The following is an 18,423-nucleotide window of genomic DNA, read 5'->3' as shown; positions in this document are numbered from 1 at the left end:
TCTATAAGACAAATTAAGCTGCAAAAAGAGGAGTCAGACCAAACAGGGGAAATGGGAAGGCTGTAACTTGTGTATTGTAATGTATTAGCCCATTTTCTCACAGCTATGACAAAACTGACAAAACTCTTTCAGGGAAAAAGTGACATGCTGGCTTTAGAAAGTAGGGTCCAACTGTCCTATAGCAGCCCATCAAAGATGACCTTCTGGTTAAGAAATGACAGGAAACTGTTAAGGAAAAGTCTCATGTTCTTCATCTTGAGGCTAATTGTTTCCAGGGGGTTGTTGGAAAAGAGGCTGTCGCTAAACAGGTATAGCTGATCTTGTCATGCAGGGCTGTTAAATACCACATTTCAACTTCTAATCATATGATGGAGAGGTTATTGCTGATCTTTTCTGATAATTAAGGTGCAAAAATACTAGGTTCCAAGACATCTGTTTTTTCCAGTGACCCTGGGACCAGTGGCAAATTAAACAAGCCATCAACTGAAAGTCAGGATCGTTGAGGAAGGCAAAAGCTTAACTGCTTGGGCCTCCTTCCTGTGGCAGCCTCCGGGCTGCTACAAAACAGAGGTGGTGAGCAGACAGGCGACAAGATGCAGAGCACTCAGGTGAGGGACAGAGAGCACAAGGTGGACAGCCCAAAAAGACAAAGTGGCAAACATCTTGTTTAGTCAAATTCATTCTTCTCAATATACCCCAGGGCCTCTAACCCTGTGAGCTTGGCCTCTAATCTGAGTATGATACCCCCGGGCCTCTAACTTTTTGGGCTGAGTCTCTCACCCTAACATTATACCCTGGGGCCTCTCGCTTAAGTAATAGTGGATAATCATTCTTGTCCACCAGAATGGCTTCACAACTCTAAAAGATGGCCCACTTGCCCAATCAATCAGTGTCAGCAGATTGATTCTGTGTGGATTGTTTTCCTTGGAGTGGGGATCTTGTCTTGGTGTCCCTTCATGGTGTTACTGAAAGATGTTGCTGGAAAAGAGGGTCCTGATACAGACCACAAAGGAGGATTCTTAGATCTTGTGCAGGAAAACATCTGAGGTGAGTCAGAGACCACAGTGCAAGAAGCAAGTTTATTAGAAATGACTCCATTACAGAGTTGGGCATCCTCAGAAAACAAAAGCAGGAATGCAATGTCTTTTGTTAGTGTCTCTACTTATAAGTAACTGTAAAGAGAAAGAGTTACAATTAAACTTGGAAGGTGCAGATGTACTCACTAAAGGCAGGGGTTATTGGTTTTAACAATGACCATTAACCCTTTGACCTAAGCTAGCTCATTAAATTTATCTTTAAGAAAAAATGCTGCACTCCTAGGACATTTATACATTTTTAAGGCTGGATGGAAGATGTCTTGTATGGCCTTAAATTATACGATGGGCTCCCGTCTTCCATGATGGACAAGTCGGAAAACACTGCTTTTCTTATCTTCTAAGTTGTTCTCCAGGGCCTCTGGGCTTCTCACCTGCCTTTCTAGTATTGTCTGAATGCCTGACCTCTCACTGGGGAGAGCTTTATTGACTCCAGTGACCAAGCCATGGTGACCTTCACAGATCATAAAGCAGAGAAAGTGTGACTTTTATTCCTGACCCCTCGGGGAAAAAAAGAAGTTAAGGATGAGCTGTCACATTTACCACCTGAGGTGTTCTCACAAGTAAATCCTGAGGTTTGGGCCACACAGGCTCTGGGAAACACACTAAACACTTCCCCCATTCAAATCCAACTTTGGCCTAGTGCTCCTCGCCCTTGGAAGAGACAATACACTTTAAGGCAAGAAGCATGAGGGGAAATTCAACCCCTTATTGCCAAATTCTTGCCGTATGACTTGTTAAGGCCATGAGAGTCTCCTTACAATACTCCCATGTTACCAGATCAAAAGCCTAATCTGGCAAGTACAGATTTGTCAGAAACCTTAGAGCATTAATAAATGCAGCTGTTGTCTCCATACACCCCATTGTCCCCAATCCTTACCCAAGTCCCAGGGGATCCAAGCTGGTTTACATTCTTAGTTCTGAAAGATGCATTTTTCTGCATCTCAATGTATCCAGATTCACAATATGTTTGCCTTTGAATGGACTGATCCAGATACTCATTCAACCTCAAAACTAACCTGGATGGTCCTCTCTGAAGGGTTCTAGGATAGCCCCCACTTATTTGAAAATGCCCTAGCTAAGGACTTAAGAAATTTACAGTTGCAAACAGGCACCATTATTCAGTATCTAGGTGACTTACTCATTGCTAGCCCAACTAAAGAAGACTCGGATAATAATACTGTTAAACTGATAAATTTCCTGGGAACTAGCAGATATAGGGTATCACCATACAGAGCTCAGATTTTGACTCAACGGCTCCAATATTTGGAATCTGTATTCACCTCTGGAACTGATCAACATCCCTAGAAGTAAAAAAGCTCTTTTAGTCATTCAAGAGTCGCAGTCCAACAAATGACTGTGGGCCTTTTTAGGGGATGGCTGGGTACTGCTGCTTACGGGTGCCCAGATTTGGACGTGTAGCCAAGCATTTACGGGATGCACTAAAAGGGAAAGATTTAGAGCTCCTTGAATGTAATGAGAACTGCAAGCAAATCTTCAATACTCTCAAAGAGAAATTGGGCTCTGCTGCAGCTGTGGGAGTCCCCAAGTTGGATGAATCATTTTATCTTTATGTGGCCAAAAAGCAAGGCATAGGCCCTGGGTAATCTTGTCCCAAAACTGGGGAACGTTCCAAGGGCTGTAACATACTTTTCTAAGCAGATAGGTCAGGTGGCCTCAGGGTGGCCTGGATGTCTTAGAGCTGTTGCTGCTGCAACTTTTCTAGTAGGCAAAGCTAATGAACTAGCATGAGGACAGCACCTAAAGGTTTTTGACCCCACATCAAGGGAAGGTGGTCCTAGAAGCTAAAGGGCACCAGTGGATAATAGGAGAACATTTATTAAAGTATCAGGCCTTATTGCTAGACACTCCAGACATAACCCTTAAAGTCTGCCAAACCATAAACCCAGTTACTTATCTGCCAGGGTCCACAAGTGCTCCCAACCTTTCTGGCATACAGGTTGTATTAGTCTGTTCTCCTGCTGCTAACAAAGACATGCCTGAGGCTGGGTAATTTATAAAGGAAAGGGGTTCAATTGACTGACAGTTCCACATGGCTAGGGAGGCCTCACAATCATGGCAGAAGGCAAATGAGGAGCAAAATCACTTCTCTTACATGGCAGCAGGCAAAAAGAGCTTGTGTAGGGAAACTCCCATTTATAAAACCATCAGCTGTAATCCCAGCACATTGGGAGGCCGAGGCGGGTGGATCGCCTGAGGTCAGGAGTTGGAGACCAGCCTGGCCAACATGGTGAAACCCCGTCTCTACTAAAAATACAAAAATTAGCCAGGCTTGGTGGTGGGCGCCTCTAATCCCAGCTACTCGGGAGGCTGAGACAGGAGGATCGCTTGAACCCAGGAGACAGAGGTTGCAGTGAGCCGAGATCACGCCACTGCAGTGCAGCCTGGGCAACAGAGCAAGATTATGTCTCAAAAAATAAAAAATAAAAATAAAAATAAAACCATCAGATCTCATGGGCTTATTCACCGTCACAAGAACAGCATGGGAAAGACCCGCCCCGTGATTCAATTACCTCCCACTGGGTCCCTCCCACGACACACGGGAATTATGGGAGCTACAATTCAAGATAAGATTTAACAGCCAAACCGCATCACGGGTTATGAAACAAAGTTATTCTAGCAGGCCAGACTTAAGAGAGATGAGCCCCTTGACCATCCCAAGGAAGAGTGGTTAAGAGATGCAGGTTGTCTTATGCATCAGGAAAACAGGAAGGGTAGGTATGCTATTATTAGTCGGCACAAGATAATCAAGGCACAAGCCTTGCTGGCCTCTACCTCAGCTCAAAAAGCTGAGTCAATTAAACTTACCAGAGCCCTGCAGTTGGGAAAGGACTTAAAAGTTAACATTTACACTGATTCCAAGTATGATTTCTTAGTGCTTCATGCTTATGCTGCAATTTGGAATGGGTAGGGACTCCTGACCACGAAGGGCTTTTCCATACATTACTCAGATTTTGAGCTTGTTAGAATGCTGCTTTGCCGCCATTAAAAAAAAAAGTGGCTGTAATTCATTGCAGAGGACATCAAAAGAGAGACTGACCGTGTAAAAGGAAATGCCCTCACAGATGTGTCAGCCAAGGCCACTGCACTGAAAGGGCCAGTGAAGCTTCTGGGCATACTGCTCAGCGTACACAGAGCTGGGCCAGAACACTCTGAAGAGAACAAAAATGGGCCAGGGATTGCAGTTCAGTCCAGGATCCCTCTGGCTGGCTGACTGATGGTAATAAGTTACTAATGCCGAGCACCAATTGTAGGAAAATAATTAAGCACTTTCATGATTCTTTCCACCCTAGAAGGGATTCTTTGCTTCAGTTAATGTCTCATTTGTTTATGGGGATAAATCTTTTCAAGACGCTAAAACAGGTGACTCAGCCCTGTGAGCGCTGTGTCTGACATAACCCAAAGACCCAGCAATTTTCACCTCCTCCAGTTAAACCTGTCCAACATTGAGGAACCTATCCAGGTGAGGACTGGCAACTCTAATTTACTCAGATGCCTTTCTGTAGGAGATTCAGGTATTTGCTAATGCTTACTGTTACATTCACTGGTTAGATCCAGGCATTCCCCACCCTATCTGACAAGTGTTTACCAGAAGAAATAATTCCTCCTTTTGGGTCATCCAAAGGCCTGCAAAGTGACAATGGCCCATCTTTCACAGCAGGCGTCTCCCAACAGCTATCCTCAGCTTTAGGAATCCAATATCACCTTCACTCTGCATGGAGACCGCAGTCCTCTGGAAAGGTGAAAGGGTTAATCATACTCTAAAGAAGACCCTAGCTAAGTCAGAGGCCTGACTATCTCTAACACCCATAGCTTACTCCGGGTTTGAGCTGCTCCAAAGGAAAACTTACAATTACTTCCTGTCGAGTTAACATAGGGGAGGCCTCTCCTAACCACAGATCTCCTAATAGAAAAGGACTCATCAATTACAAAAATATGTCATCAATGTGGGACAGGTGCAAAGGCACTCTGTGAACACGGAAACAAAAGGCTTCCCCTCCACACGGGAGGAAAATTCCATTTCAGCTCAGCTAGGGATTTAGTCTTACTAAAGACATGGGAGGAAGTTCTCCAGCTGACCAGCTTTCCCCAACGTGGAAAGGACCACAGCAAGGCCACCTGAGCTCTCCAACAGACCTTGAACGCCAAGGGATTCACAGGTGGGTACACCTGTGTGGAAGTAAAGCTGTTGCTTATTCTGGGAGCCCAATCTGAGGCTGGGGGAGGTGGGCGCGGGGTTATTTTAGCGTTGGCGGAGCACTGGCCCTGTCGCTGCGCTCCTGCTCCTCCTCGCGTTTCTCCTGCCGCCCTAGTCCAGCAGTGGCCATGAGGGAGATCGTGCTATGGCAGACCGGGCAGTGCGGGAACCAGATCGGTGCCAAGGTTGGTGGCCGGGGCTCTGAGGGCCCAGCGCGGGCCTGCCGGGTGGCCCGAGAAGATGTTGGCAGCGGCTGGGGCTGTATTGCGGCCCCCCGTCTCCGCGCCTGGGACGCGGTGGAGCTGGGTGGCTGGCTAGGCAGCCAGGGCGGACCCCCAGGGATCCAGCGGCCTGGGGGTGGGGATAGGAGAGGGGCTGGGGAGCCTCGGGCTCCCTGGCCTCCGTGACTCAGCCCTGGCCTGTTTGGCCCCTCGTGTCTCTCGCAGTTCTGGGAGGTGATCTCTGATGAACATGCCATCGACTCTGCTGGCACCTGCCACGGGGACAGGGACCTGCAGCTGGAGCGCATCAACATGTACTACAACGAGGCCAGCGGTGAGACCCCTGTCCTTCCCCAGCCGCCCTCCTGGGAATGGCGGCCCTCTCCTCGCTGATGTCCTCCCGCCCCCGTCAGGTGGCAGGTACGTGCCCCGCCCTGTGCTTGTGGATGTGGAGCCGGGCACCATCGGCTCTGTGTGCTCAGCGCCATTCGGGAGGATCTTCAGGCCGGACGACTTCATCTTCGGTGAGCTGCGGGTGAGGACTGGGGTGAGGCTCCTTAGCCAGGGCCGCTCAAATTCAAGGAGTGCCCCAAAGTCATCGCTGTGGGAACTGTGGAGCTAGGGCCCCTGAACACCCTCCCATCCTGAGTCACGCAATCTCCTTCTCCTAAACGGGCTTTGGGAGGAAGGCCCAGCTGTCTGCCTGAGAGGAGCTGCTGATGCAATCTTTCTGCAGGGAGCTGGGCTGGGGGCAGTGGCTGCTGCTTTTCTTGGGGATGGGCAGGAGCCACCTGCAGCCAGGTCTGTTGTGTTAGGCTGTCTCAGGTTCGGCTCCTGACTTAACTTCTAACAGGGGAGGCTGCTGTCCTTCAGCTTTGGGGGAGGGAGGTCCACCTGCTCCACCTGCAGGGTGAATGGTGCTTTCACCTCACACGTGACACTTGGCCCTTTTTTGCATTGTGGTGACCCCTGATGACTGTATATCTGGCCATCCAGCGACTTGCTGTGTTGTCTTACAGGTCAGTGTGGGGCCGGGAACAACTGGGCCAAGGGGCACTACACAGAAGGTGCAGAGCTGAAGGAGACGCTGATGGATGTTGTGAAAAAGAATCTGAGAGCTGTGACTGCCTGCAGGGTTTCCAGCTTACCCACTCCCTGGGTGGGGGTACCGGGTCTCTGATGGATACTCTTCTCATCAGTAAGATCTGGGAGGAGTACCCAGACAGGATCATAAACACATTCAGTGTTCTGCCTTTGCCCAAGGTGTCAGACACCATGGTGGAGCCCTACAATGCCACCCTCTCAGTCCACCAGCTCATGGAAAATGCAGATGAGACCTTTTGCATTGATAGTGAAGCTCTGTAGTTCTGTGTGACATCTGTTCCAGAACCCTAAAACTGCCCACACCCACCTACGGTGACCTGAATCACCTGGTTTCTGCTACCACAAGTGGGGTCACCACGTGCCTGTTCTTCCCAGGCCAGCTGAATACTGATCTGCAAAGGCTGGCCACGAACGTGATCCTAGTTGCCTGGCTACACTTCTTCATGCTTCGCTTTGCTCCACTGTCCAGCCGGGGCAGCCAGCCAGTAGTACTCGGCCCTGACCATGGCTGAGTTCACCCAGCAGATGTTTGATGCTAAGAATGATGGTTGCCTGTGAGCCCCGTCATGGCCACTACCTGACAGTGGCTGCCGTTTTCAGAGGTTGCATGCCCATGAGGGAGGTGGATGAGCAAATGTTCAATATTCAAAATAAGAACAGCAGGTACTCTGCTGATTGGCTCCCTCACAATGTGAAAATGGCTATCTGTGCCATCCCACCCAAGGGGCTAAAAATGGCCACCTGCATTGGCAACAACACGGCCATCCGGGAGCTGTTCAAGTGTGTTCCAGGCCTTCCTGCACTGGTACACGGGCGAGGGCATGGACGTGATGGAGTTCACCGAGGCCAAGAGCAACATGAACAACCTGCTGTCTGAGTATCAGCAGTACCAGGACGCCACAGCCGAGGAGGAGGAGGTGGCCTAGAGCCTGCCTTTTCTGGGTAAAGTGGGGAAGCGGTGTGGGTTCTTATAGTGTGTTCTGATAGCCATGTGTCACTAGGCACTTGTTTGTGTCTTCACATCTCCTCCTGTTGTGTTTTAAAGCCTTTTCATAGTATGCGGTTTTGCCTAATGGAGCATTCTCTTAGCATCTGCTTTCACCTGCACTTTCTATAGGCCCTCTGGGTACTGCTGGCAGATGTGTGTAATTGTGCTGCAAGGTTGCAGCTGACTTGGGCTTCTATGCCAAGGAACAAGCATTCCAGTGGTTCCTGGCGGGATCAGTATGGATTATGGACATGGCAGGCATGCTCCACAGGAACTTGAGGCTGCCCTGGGCCTTGGTTATCTGCTTAGTAGGGAAACTGCTTCCTGAAGGAAAGCCTGGCTGCTCCTCCCCAGGACCAGCTGACCTCTGTAACTTAAAAGTGGCCAGTGCTGCCCACCGCTCCCCCAACTTCCAAAAGGGTTGGGCAATTCTACCCCAAGGTGGGACCTTGGAGACAATGTAGTAACACAGCTGGTCCTGAACCAGCAATAAAGGGTGGTGAAATAGAGCCCCAGCTACCCCTTCCCCATGATAGCCTGGGTGTGTCAGTGTGACCTCTTCCCCCTAATCATGTTGGCACACGGATATCTGGCAGGGTCGGATACTAGTTGGCAGGAATCAAGCCCACTGTGTACTCACATGCATGCAGAAGGGAATTAGGTCCCATATAGAAGGGAATTAGGCCCTGGGGGCTGTACATGTGGTTGCTGGGCCTGTGTGCTCAGTGCAGTCTCTCCAGGGCATAGGTGCAGTTTCTGAACAGGAACTGGGAATCTGGCAACCAGTGAGGAAAATGCCCATGCAGGGGTCTGTCCTGCCCCAGGTTGGAGGGATGGCACTCTGGAAAAGTGATTAATGTACACTGCCTCTTGTCTCCCCTATCCCCTGCTTCAAAGCAGGGGGAGAATACAAGGCTGTCAGGATGAGAGAGGTGGAAGTCGTACCTTTGGGGTCAGGCCCTTGAGCCACAGCCTCTTTCCCAGGCCTCTCAGGGAGCCTGGACTTCAAGGCCTGCCTCACTGAAGCTGTCAAATAAGATGGATGTGAGCTGGGTGCTCGGGAGCACACCCAGGACAGTGCTCTTCTACCTGGCTCTTGTAGAACTCATCCATGGCCTGTATGATACCCTCTTGGTAACTCACACCCTCACACAAGTGGATTGGGAGGATGAAGCCAGCATAGCCTGGGGTTGGGCATATGTTTAGGTCCTACCCCAGATCCCCTTGGCCTTCCCCTAGGCCTACCCACCTGCCTCAGATGCGTCAGGGAAGGCAGGTGAGGCTCATTTCCCTCAATGCTGGCAACTGCCTCTTGAAGCCAAATTGGAACAGGCAAGCAGGGGAGTGTCTCATCTTCAGAAAAGATGGGCTCCTGGAAGCAGCTAGGAAGTGAGAGAAGTCCCCCTTACTGCCCCAACCTGTTCTCAGAGCAGGAAAATGGGCCTCTGTGACAGCTCTCCTCACTGGCTCTCACCCTCTGAGGGGTGTCCTTGCCCAGCGCAGCCCAGGCCTGCACCCACCTGAGATGGCCTTACATGGATCCGGTTGGGAAGGTTCAGCTGCAGCAACCACTGGAAGCTGCCCACACCTAGTGTCTCCACTCATGGGTGGTGTCAGATGTTCCTCCCTCCTGCAGTGGTACAGCCAGAGTGGCAGAAGGGGCAAGTCACTGCTGCAGTTCCCACCTGGGTCTGAGTGGGGCCCAGGCTTGGCTCCTGTGTATTTCCCAATCACCTGGTTCCACCTGGGGCTTCATGGCTGGGAGTGGTCCTCTTAGGGGCCTTTTTTTCATATGCCACCTGCAGGTCTGGGTTTCTCAAGTCTCAGGAGTCCCCCTTCCAGCCTGGCTAGCATGGTGGGCCATAGGGGAAGGGGCATGAAGCTTCCAGAAAGCAGAACCTAGTGGCTGCTGGTGGTTTTCCTCCTTCAGTGGGAGTCAGCTCAGAATCTCAACATCCTTGTAGAGTTTCAAAACAGTACAGACAGGGTAGCATGTAAGCAATTGAGGCAGAATGGTGGGGCCAGGAGGGAGCAGGGCCAAGGCCTGGTGGCTTACCCATGTACAGGGGATTGTAGGGGATTATCTACTATCAGGGAATTCAGTGTAGCTTGGTCTTGCTAAAGCCCTAGATGAACTTGGGCTTGGACATGGGAGACAGCATGAAGCAGGGGCTCTACTACATGCTGCGGTTTTTGAGCAGCTGTGCCATGGTGTGCCCATAGATGTTCCCCACCTGGAGCACAGCCGTGGTTAGAAGCTGGTGTAGCTGCAGAGGGAAGAGGAGGAGGCAGGAGGAGTCTCAAGAGCAGCCTCAGGCAGCCAGGCAGGGGCCTCTGCAAGCGAAATGCAGATCCAGCCTGTTGGCCTCTTAGCTTCTTGGCCTGCTGTAGATCACCTGAGCTCTGCTTAGCTATAAATGGGGGTTGCAGTAGCACCCGCCTTCTGGGATTCTCGCAGCTTGAAGGGGCAGCACACACCACGTGCTGAGAATGCACCTGACTCCGGGGAGCTTTTCTGACAGCACATCAGATTCAGCATACCTAACCTCTACCAGACACCATGAAATCTTCCCTACCCCTCATTCCAACTGAAGGAAAAGGGAGCCTGTCCTAGGGGAGCAAGCACAGACATATTTCTGTGGTAGGCACATGGCCCAGGCTTGGGAAAACCCCTTGGACACATGCTGGTTTCACCAGGAATCTGTGGGGTGGATTTAGCCTGGAACCCTGTACCCCAGGAGGCCAGTGGCCCCCTACATGGGACCAGGACTGCACCCTAGGAGGCCAGTAGCCCCCTGCATGGGAGGCAGGTGGTGGGACTGAACTTTGAGGGAAGTCATCATTTGGCGTCAGGAAAAGCTGTGCAAGTGGTTGTTGGTGGTTCAGTTCTGCAGGGCTTGTGTAATAACCCAAAGCGTGCAAAGTTACCATAGGCTCATCAGTTTAAAAGGTAATGGGGACAGTTGGCTTCACCTGCCCCTTTCCCAGAAGTAACTGGTGTTCAGAGGTGGATTTGGTTTCTTCCAAGCCCTTTCCCTTCGCATGTAGCTGTGTGTGTGTATTTAGGTGTGTACACACACATTCTGTAGAGGAGTTTTGTCTTTCTATTTGGGGGCATGACTAGTGAGGCAGCCTGGCATTTGCTTATCTTGTCTTTTAAGTGTTGAGTCCTCTGTGAAGTGGGCACTGCGTCCTTACTAGCTGGCCTCTGCCAGCTGTTTGTTCCTCCAGTTTCTGCCCTTCACAGACATGCTAGCCACCTGTTGTGACATTCAGCAGTCTGGTCCCCAGTTAGTAACATGAGAGGACTTAATCAGCTACATCATAAAACTGAAAAAGCTCACACTATGCAGAAAGTATAAATTAACATTTGTATACTACTCGGCTGGGGTCCACAGTACATGACTGAGATGACAAAGAGGTTTTTTCACCTAATATTTGGACCCTGAAAGAGGGCATTTATGGTTTTCTTATTTAGAACACAGAATAAATACTACCCAAAATTATCCCCAACTCCCACTTCACCCCTCTAGTTTACCTACCTCGGAGAGAAAGAGGAACTCACCTGGTTAATGCAAGCCGGAAATTTTGAGCCAGGTCACTGTGTAAAGGTCATACTGCCTCTGACCTCTCATGTGTCACATTCTCAGCTCAGATATTTCATAGCTCCCTGTATACAGGTAGATACAGTACCCTCCTAGCCTCCTTTCTTGGTATGATACATGCCTGACAGCATGTGAGAGGGCTCAAGGTCCAGGCTTATGGGATGATTTGGGCAAGACTGTTCTGCTTGCCCCATCTCATGTCTCCAGGTGAACCTGCATGCGTATGTTCCTCCATCTAGTTCCAGAATAGGGGATAGGGTTATATGGTTTGGCTCTGTGTCCCCACACAAATCTTACCTTAATTTGTGATAAAGCCCATGTGTCAAGGATGGGACGAGGTGGAGGTAATTGAATCATGGGGCAGTTTCCCCCATACTGTTCTCATGGTAGTGACTGAGTTGTCCCAAGAGCTGATGATTTTATAAGGGGCTTCCCCCTTCACTTGGCTCTCACTTCTCTCACGCCTGCTGCCATGTAAGGTGTGACTTTGCTCCTCTTTCACCTTCTGCCATGATTGTGGGGCCTCGTCAGCCATGTGGAACTGTGAGTCCATTAAACCTCCTTTCCTTTATAAATTACCCAGTCTCAGGTTGTCTTTATTAGCAGTGTGAGGACAGACTAATACAGTAAATTGGTCCCAGGAGTAGGGTGCTGCTGTAAAGACACCCCAAAATGTGGAAGTGACTTTGGAGTTGGGTAACAGGCAGAGGTTGGAACAGTTTGGAGAGCTTAGAAAACAGGAAGATGTTGGAAGGTTTGGAACTTCCTAGAGACTTGTTGAATGGCTTTGACCAAGTTGCTGATAGTGATGTGAACAATAAGGTCCAGACTGAAGTGGTCTGAGTTGGAGATGAGGATCTTGTTGGGAACTGCAGTAAAGGTCACTCTTGCTATGCAAAGAGACTGGTGGCACTTTGCCCCTGCCCTAGAGATTTGTGGAACTTTTAATGAGAGAGATGATTTAGGGTATCTTGCAGAAGAAATTTCTAAACAGCAAAACATTCAAGAGGACACAGAGGGACCAGGCACGGTGGCTTATGCCTGTAATCCTAGCACTTTGGGAGGCCAAGGTGGGCAGATTACTTGAGGTCAGGAGTTCAAGACCAGCTTCACCAACAAGGGGAAACCCTGTCTCTACTAATAATATAAAAATTAGCCAGGCATGGTGGCAGGCACCTGTAATCCCAGCTACTCAGGAGGCTGAGGCAGGAGAATCACTTAAACCCAGGAGGCGGAGGTTGCAGTGAGCCGAGATCACACCATTGTACTCCATTCTGGGGGACAAGAGTGAAACTCCATCTCAAAATAAAGAGGAAGCAGAGCATAAAAGTTTGAAAAATTTGCAGCCTGATGATGCAGTAGAAAAGAAAAAACTCATTTTCTGGGAAGAAATTCAAGCCCACAGCAGAAATTTGCATAAGCAACAGGGAGCTGAATGTTAATCACCAAGACAATGGGGAAAATGTCTCCAAGGCATGTCAGAGACCTTCACAGCAGCCCCTCCCATCACAGGCCTAAAGGCCTGGGAGGAGAAAATGGTTTCCTGGGCCAGGCCTAGAGGCCCCCTGCAGTGTGCAGCCTTGGGACATGGTGCCCTGCATCCCAGTCACTCCAACCATGACTAAAAGGGACCAAGGTACAGTTCAGGCCATTGCTTCAGAGGTACAAGCCTCAAGCCTTGGTGGCTTACACATGGTGTTGGGCCTGCAGGTGTGTAGAAGTCAAGAATTGAGGTTTAGGAACCTGTGCCTAGATTTCAGAGGATGTATGGAAATGCCTGGATGTCCAGGCAGAGATTTGCTGCAGGGGTACAGCCCTTCTGGATAACCTCTGCTAGAGCAGTGTGGAAGGAAAATGTGAGGTTCGAGCCCCCACACAGAGTCCCCACTGGGGCACTGCCTAGTGGAGCTGTGAGCAGAGGGCCACTATCTTCCAGATCCCAGAATGGTAGATCCACCTACAGCTTGCACTGTGCACCTGAAAAAGCCCCAGACACACAATGCCAGCCTGTGAAAGCAGCTGAGGGGGCAAGGCTGTACCCTGCAAAGCCACAGGGACAGATCTGCCCCAGGCTGTGGGCAGCCTTGCATCAGCAAGACCTGGACATGAGACATGGAGTCAAAGGAGATCATTTCAGAGCTTTAAGAATTGACTGCCCCACTGGATTTTGGAATTGCATGGGGCCTGTAGCCCCTTCATTTTGGCCAGCTTCTCACATTTGGAACAGGTGTATTTATCCAATATCTGTACCCCCACTGTATCTAGGAAGTAACTAACTTTCTTTTGACTTTACAGGCTCATAGGTGGAAGGGACTTGTCTCAGATGAGACTTTAGAGTATGGACTTTTGAGTTAATGCTTAAATGAGTTAAGACTTTGGGAAAGCAAAATTGGTTTTGAAATGTGAGAACATGAGATTTGGGAGGGGCTGTGGATGGAATAAGATGGTTTGGCTCTGTGTCCCCACCCACATCTCACCTTGAATTGTGATATTCCCTATGTGTCAAGGGTGGGACCAGGCGGAGAGAAATGAATCATGGGGGGTGGTTCCCCCATACCGTTATTATGTTGAGTGAGTCCTCATGAGATCTGATGGTTTTATAAGGGACTTCCCACTTAACTTGGCTCTCACTTCCCTCTTGCCTGCCACAATGTAAGACACGACTTTGCTCCTTCTTTACCTTCCATTGTGATCTTGAGGCCTCCCTAGCCATGTGGAACTGTGAAACCATTAAACCTTCTTTCCTTTATAAATTACCCTTATAAATTACCCAGTTTCAAGTATGTCTTTATTAGCAGCATGAGAAGAGACAAGAAGTCTCATATTGACCTCAAGTTTATGCCAGTTTTTCCACATCAGCTTTCCAAGACAGTCCCTGGTGTGGGGCTTATAAGATGCCATGGAGATTTGTGAAGTTAATATCTACTTTTATTGTGTGGGTGCTTTATAAATTAGAGCCCTGGAGAGGAATAGGTGTCAAAGCTACTCCAAACCTCTAACATATAAACATCTAAGCCTGGCCCTTTTTTGGTGGTGAAATATATATAACATTAATCTTACCATTTTAATCATGTTTAAATGTACAGTTCAGTGGCATTCAGTATACTCACATTATTGTACGACCATCTCCTTTATTCATATCTACAACTTTATTATTATCCTAAAATGAAACACCATCCCCATGAAGAAGTCATTGAATAGAAGACTGATGCATTTGACTCCATAAAAATTAAAACTTTCTATGAGAGAAAAATGCCTCAAAGTCAAAAGTCAACAGACTGGGGAAATCTCTAACATATATAACAGACAAAGAGCTAATTTGGGTAATGTATATATAAAGCTATCATAAATTATTAAAAGACCAGCAGCAAAATTGAAAAATGGACAAAGAATGTTGTATTAGTGCATTTTCATGCTGATGATAAAGACATACCCAAGACTCAGCAATTTACAAGAAAGAGGTTTACTGGACTTAGTTTCACAAGGCTGAGGAGGCCTCACAATCATGGTGGAAATTGAAAGGCACGTCTCACATGGTGGCAGCAGGAGAGAGAATAATAGCCAAGTGAAACAGGTTTCCCCTTATCAAACCATCAGATCTGATGAGACTTATTCACTACCACGAGAACAGCAGAGGGGAAACTGTCCCCATGATCCAAGAATCTCCCACCAGGTCACTCCCACAACATGTGGGAAATATGGGAGTACAATTCAAGATGCGATTTGGGTGGGGACACCAAGCCAAACCATATCAGATATAAAGAGACAGTTCAAAGAAAAATGTAGATTTTTAAATACTTGCTAATTTTTTTACTGTGGTAAAATAGGCATAACAAAGTTGACCACTTTAACTATTTTGAGGTGTATAATTTAGTGGCATTAAGTACAAATACATTGTTGTGCAACCATCACCACTATCCATTTTCAAAACTATTTTATCATCCCAAACTGAAACTCTATCCATGGAACAATAACTCCCCATTTCCCTTCTTCTCATCCCCTGACCCCCACTATTTTATTTTCTATGTCTATAAATTTGACTACTCTAGGTACTTCATATAAGTGGAAGCATACAGTATTTGCTTTTTTGTCTGACTTATTTTACTTAGCAAAATCTTCTCAAGGTTTGTTGTAGCATTTATCAAAATTTATTTTTAAGGTTGAATATAATATATCATTGTATGTATTGACTATATTTGCTTACCCATTCATCTATAGATGGACATTTTGGTGGTTTCTACACTTTGGCTATTGTGAGTGCTGCTATAAACATGGGTGTGCAAATATCTGTGCAAATTCCTGCTTTCAGTTCTTTTAGGTATATACCCAGAAGTAGAATTGCTAGATCATATGGTGATTACTGTTTTCCATAGTAGCTCTGCCATTTTACTTTCCCACCAGTAGTATGCAAGAGTTCTGACTTCTCCACATCTAGCATTTGCTGTTCTCTGGGTTTTTGTTGTTTGTTTTGGTTTGTTGTTGGTTGTTTTTTTTATGGTAGCTATACTTATATGTGTCAGTTGGTATTGCATTGTGCTTTTGATTTACATTGTTCTCATGATAATTGATGCTGAGCACCTCACCTGTGCTTACTGGTCATTTGTATATCTTCTTTAAAGAAATGTGTATTTTAAAACCTTTGCTCATTTTTAAATTTGATTTTGTTGTTGTTGTTGCTGAGGTCTTTATATAGCCTGGATATTAATTACTTATCAGATATATAATGTGTGGATATTTTCTCCCCCTCTGTGAATTGTATTTTCAATCTATTGATTGTATCTTCAGACACACAAAAGGTCTTAACTTTAATAAAGTTATTTTTATGTATTTTGTTGTTGTTGCCTGCACTTTCACTGTCATATCCAAGAAATTGTTGCCAGATTCTATGTTATGAAACTTTTTCCCTATGCTTTCTTCTAAGGGTTTTATAGTTTTAGCTCTTACAATTAGATGTTTGATCCATTTTTAATTGTTTTGTACATGGTGTAAAGTAAGGGTTCAACATCATTCTTTTCCATGTAAATATCCAGTTTTTCTAGCACTATTTAAAAAATACTGTCCTTTCTCATTGAATAGTTTTGGCTCCCTTGTTGAAAATTATGACCAATATTGCCTTGGTCTTTATGTCTGTCTCTATGCTGGTACAACATTTTTTGGGTACTGAAGCATTGTAGTAAGTTCAAAACCACGAGGCGTTAATCCTCTAACTTCATTTATTTTAATATAGATTGGGACTCTTGGGTTTTTTTGAGATTTCGTCTGAATTTTAGAATAGGTTTTTCTACTTTTGCAAATGTTGGGATTTTTAAAGGAATTTCATTGAATCTGTAGATGACTATAGATAACAATGACATCTTGACAAGGTTTTGTCTTCCAATCCATAAACACATAGTGTCTTTTCATTTGAGTCATCTTTAATATCTTTCTGCAATGTTTATAGTTTTCACTGTACAGGTTTTTCATTACCTTGGTTAAGTTGGTTTCTAAGTATTATTTTGATGGTATCATAAATGATATAGTTTATTGTTATTGTAGAAATACAAATGATTTTATGTATTAATTTTGTATCCTGCAGCTTTGTTGAATTTTATTTATTGCTTCTGACAGTTTCTTTCACAAAAACTATAGGATTTTTAATATACAAGTTTATATCATCTGCAAACAGATACTTTTACCTTTTCTTTTTAGTTGGAATTTTTTATTCTTTTTCTTGCCTTATTGCTCTAACTAGAATCTTCCATACTATGTTAAATAGAAGTGGTAAAAGCAGGCATCCTTGTTTTTGCTCTTAGGATAAAAGCTTTCACCATTATGTTAACCGTGTGTTTTTTTTTTTTAATGTATAACATGTTAAGGTCTTTCCTTTCTGTTTATAGTTTCTTGAGTATTTTTTATGAAAGTGGGTTAAATTTTGATAAATACTTTTTTCTGCTTTGGTTAAAATAATCACATTTTTCTTTACGTTTTTTTCTTTTCTTCTTTACGTTAATGTGATATTACATTGATTTTTATGTGTTGGAGCATACTTTTACTTCAGGAGTCAATTATACTCATTCATGTTGTATAATCCTTTTAATGTACTGCTAAATTTAAATTGCTAGTATTTTGTTGAGGATTTTCGCATCAGCATTTGTAAGTGATGTTTGTCTGTAGTTTTCTCGTGTTTGGTGTCTGGGTAATACTGGCCTCATAGAATGAGTTAGAAAATGTTACCTCCTCTTCAAATTTTTGAAAGAGTTTGAGAAAAACTGGTATTAATTCTGCTTTAAATGTTGGGTAGAATTCAACAGTGAAGCCATCTGGTCTAGGGCTTTTCTTTGTTGCTGGGTTTTTGGTTACTGATGCAATGTTCATACTGAATCTCCTTGATGAATAGGTTTATTAAGCTATTCTATTCCTGATTCTGTCTTAGTAGGTTTTTTGTTTCTAAAAATTTGTTCATTTTATTTAGGTTATTCAATTTTTTTGGTGTACAGTTGCTTATGGTACTCTCTTATATCCTTTTTCACTCTGTAAGTTTGGTATAACTCATTGAAGTTATAACTTCTCCAGTAGCCAATTATTTCAAAGGCCAGACATGTACTCCTTAAAAAATGACTAAAACTGACAGCTTGTAGAAAGCCATAAAAATCTTTATTGTACTGTGTTGTTCTGGTAATACACTTGTAAGATGCTTGCCAAAAATAAATACTGGAAAATACTTTTCAATTTCTCAAGCAGATTACTGCAACAGTAACACATCAAGACTTATTCATTAATAATGAAAAAATATGAATTGTTATACTGAATCTGGATAGAAAAACTAGGTAGTTTTATACCTATCTTCATTATCTGTACAATGTTACCTTTCAAAATATTTTTAAAGTGTTAACTTTATGGGAAAAAATGAGGTATTTGAAAACGGTTAGAAAGTTTAACAAAACCTTATAAACTCACATGTCTTTTACTGGGATATCCTTGAAGATCTGACAGTTTTCCACTTTGTACAGCTTGATCATGCATAATCTTGGAGGCAAAAAGAATGACTCCCAAGGAAATCCTTTTCCAGTTAGATGGACAAATGTCAATTTCAGCATAAGTCAAGATCCTTTCCAGGTAAATTTGCAAAGAGAGCACTGATGTTTTATTTTAGTTCAATTTAGCTGCTGTGATAAGAATGCATGAATGATAGATTACTTCTGTTTTTGGCCAG

At 45.6% G+C, this 18,423-nt stretch overlaps 1 pseudogene, besides 1 other annotated feature; it reads left to right on the top strand.

The window, feature by feature from the left end:
* TUBB8P10 (tubulin beta 8 class VIII pseudogene 10) lies at positions 5,758–7,733 on the top strand (annotated as a pseudogene).
* Positions 6,123–6,809: an enhancer, noted in NCBI's record as "H3K27ac-H3K4me1 hESC enhancer chr1:227681476-227682162 (GRCh37/hg19 assembly coordinates)". NCBI's record gives its function as "activates a minimal SCP1, AML or CMV promoter by ChIP-STARR-seq in primed H9 embryonic stem cells {active_cell/tissue: H9 hESC(primed)}" and the evidence as "EXISTENCE:reporter gene assay evidence [ECO:0000049][PMID:30033119]".

Source organism: Homo sapiens, chromosome 1, assembly GCF_000001405.40.
Source record: "Homo sapiens chromosome 1, GRCh38.p14 Primary Assembly".
Classification (NCBI taxonomy): domain Eukaryota; kingdom Metazoa; phylum Chordata; class Mammalia; order Primates; family Hominidae; genus Homo; species Homo sapiens.
This window is presented reverse-complemented; position numbering and strand designations above follow the sequence as displayed.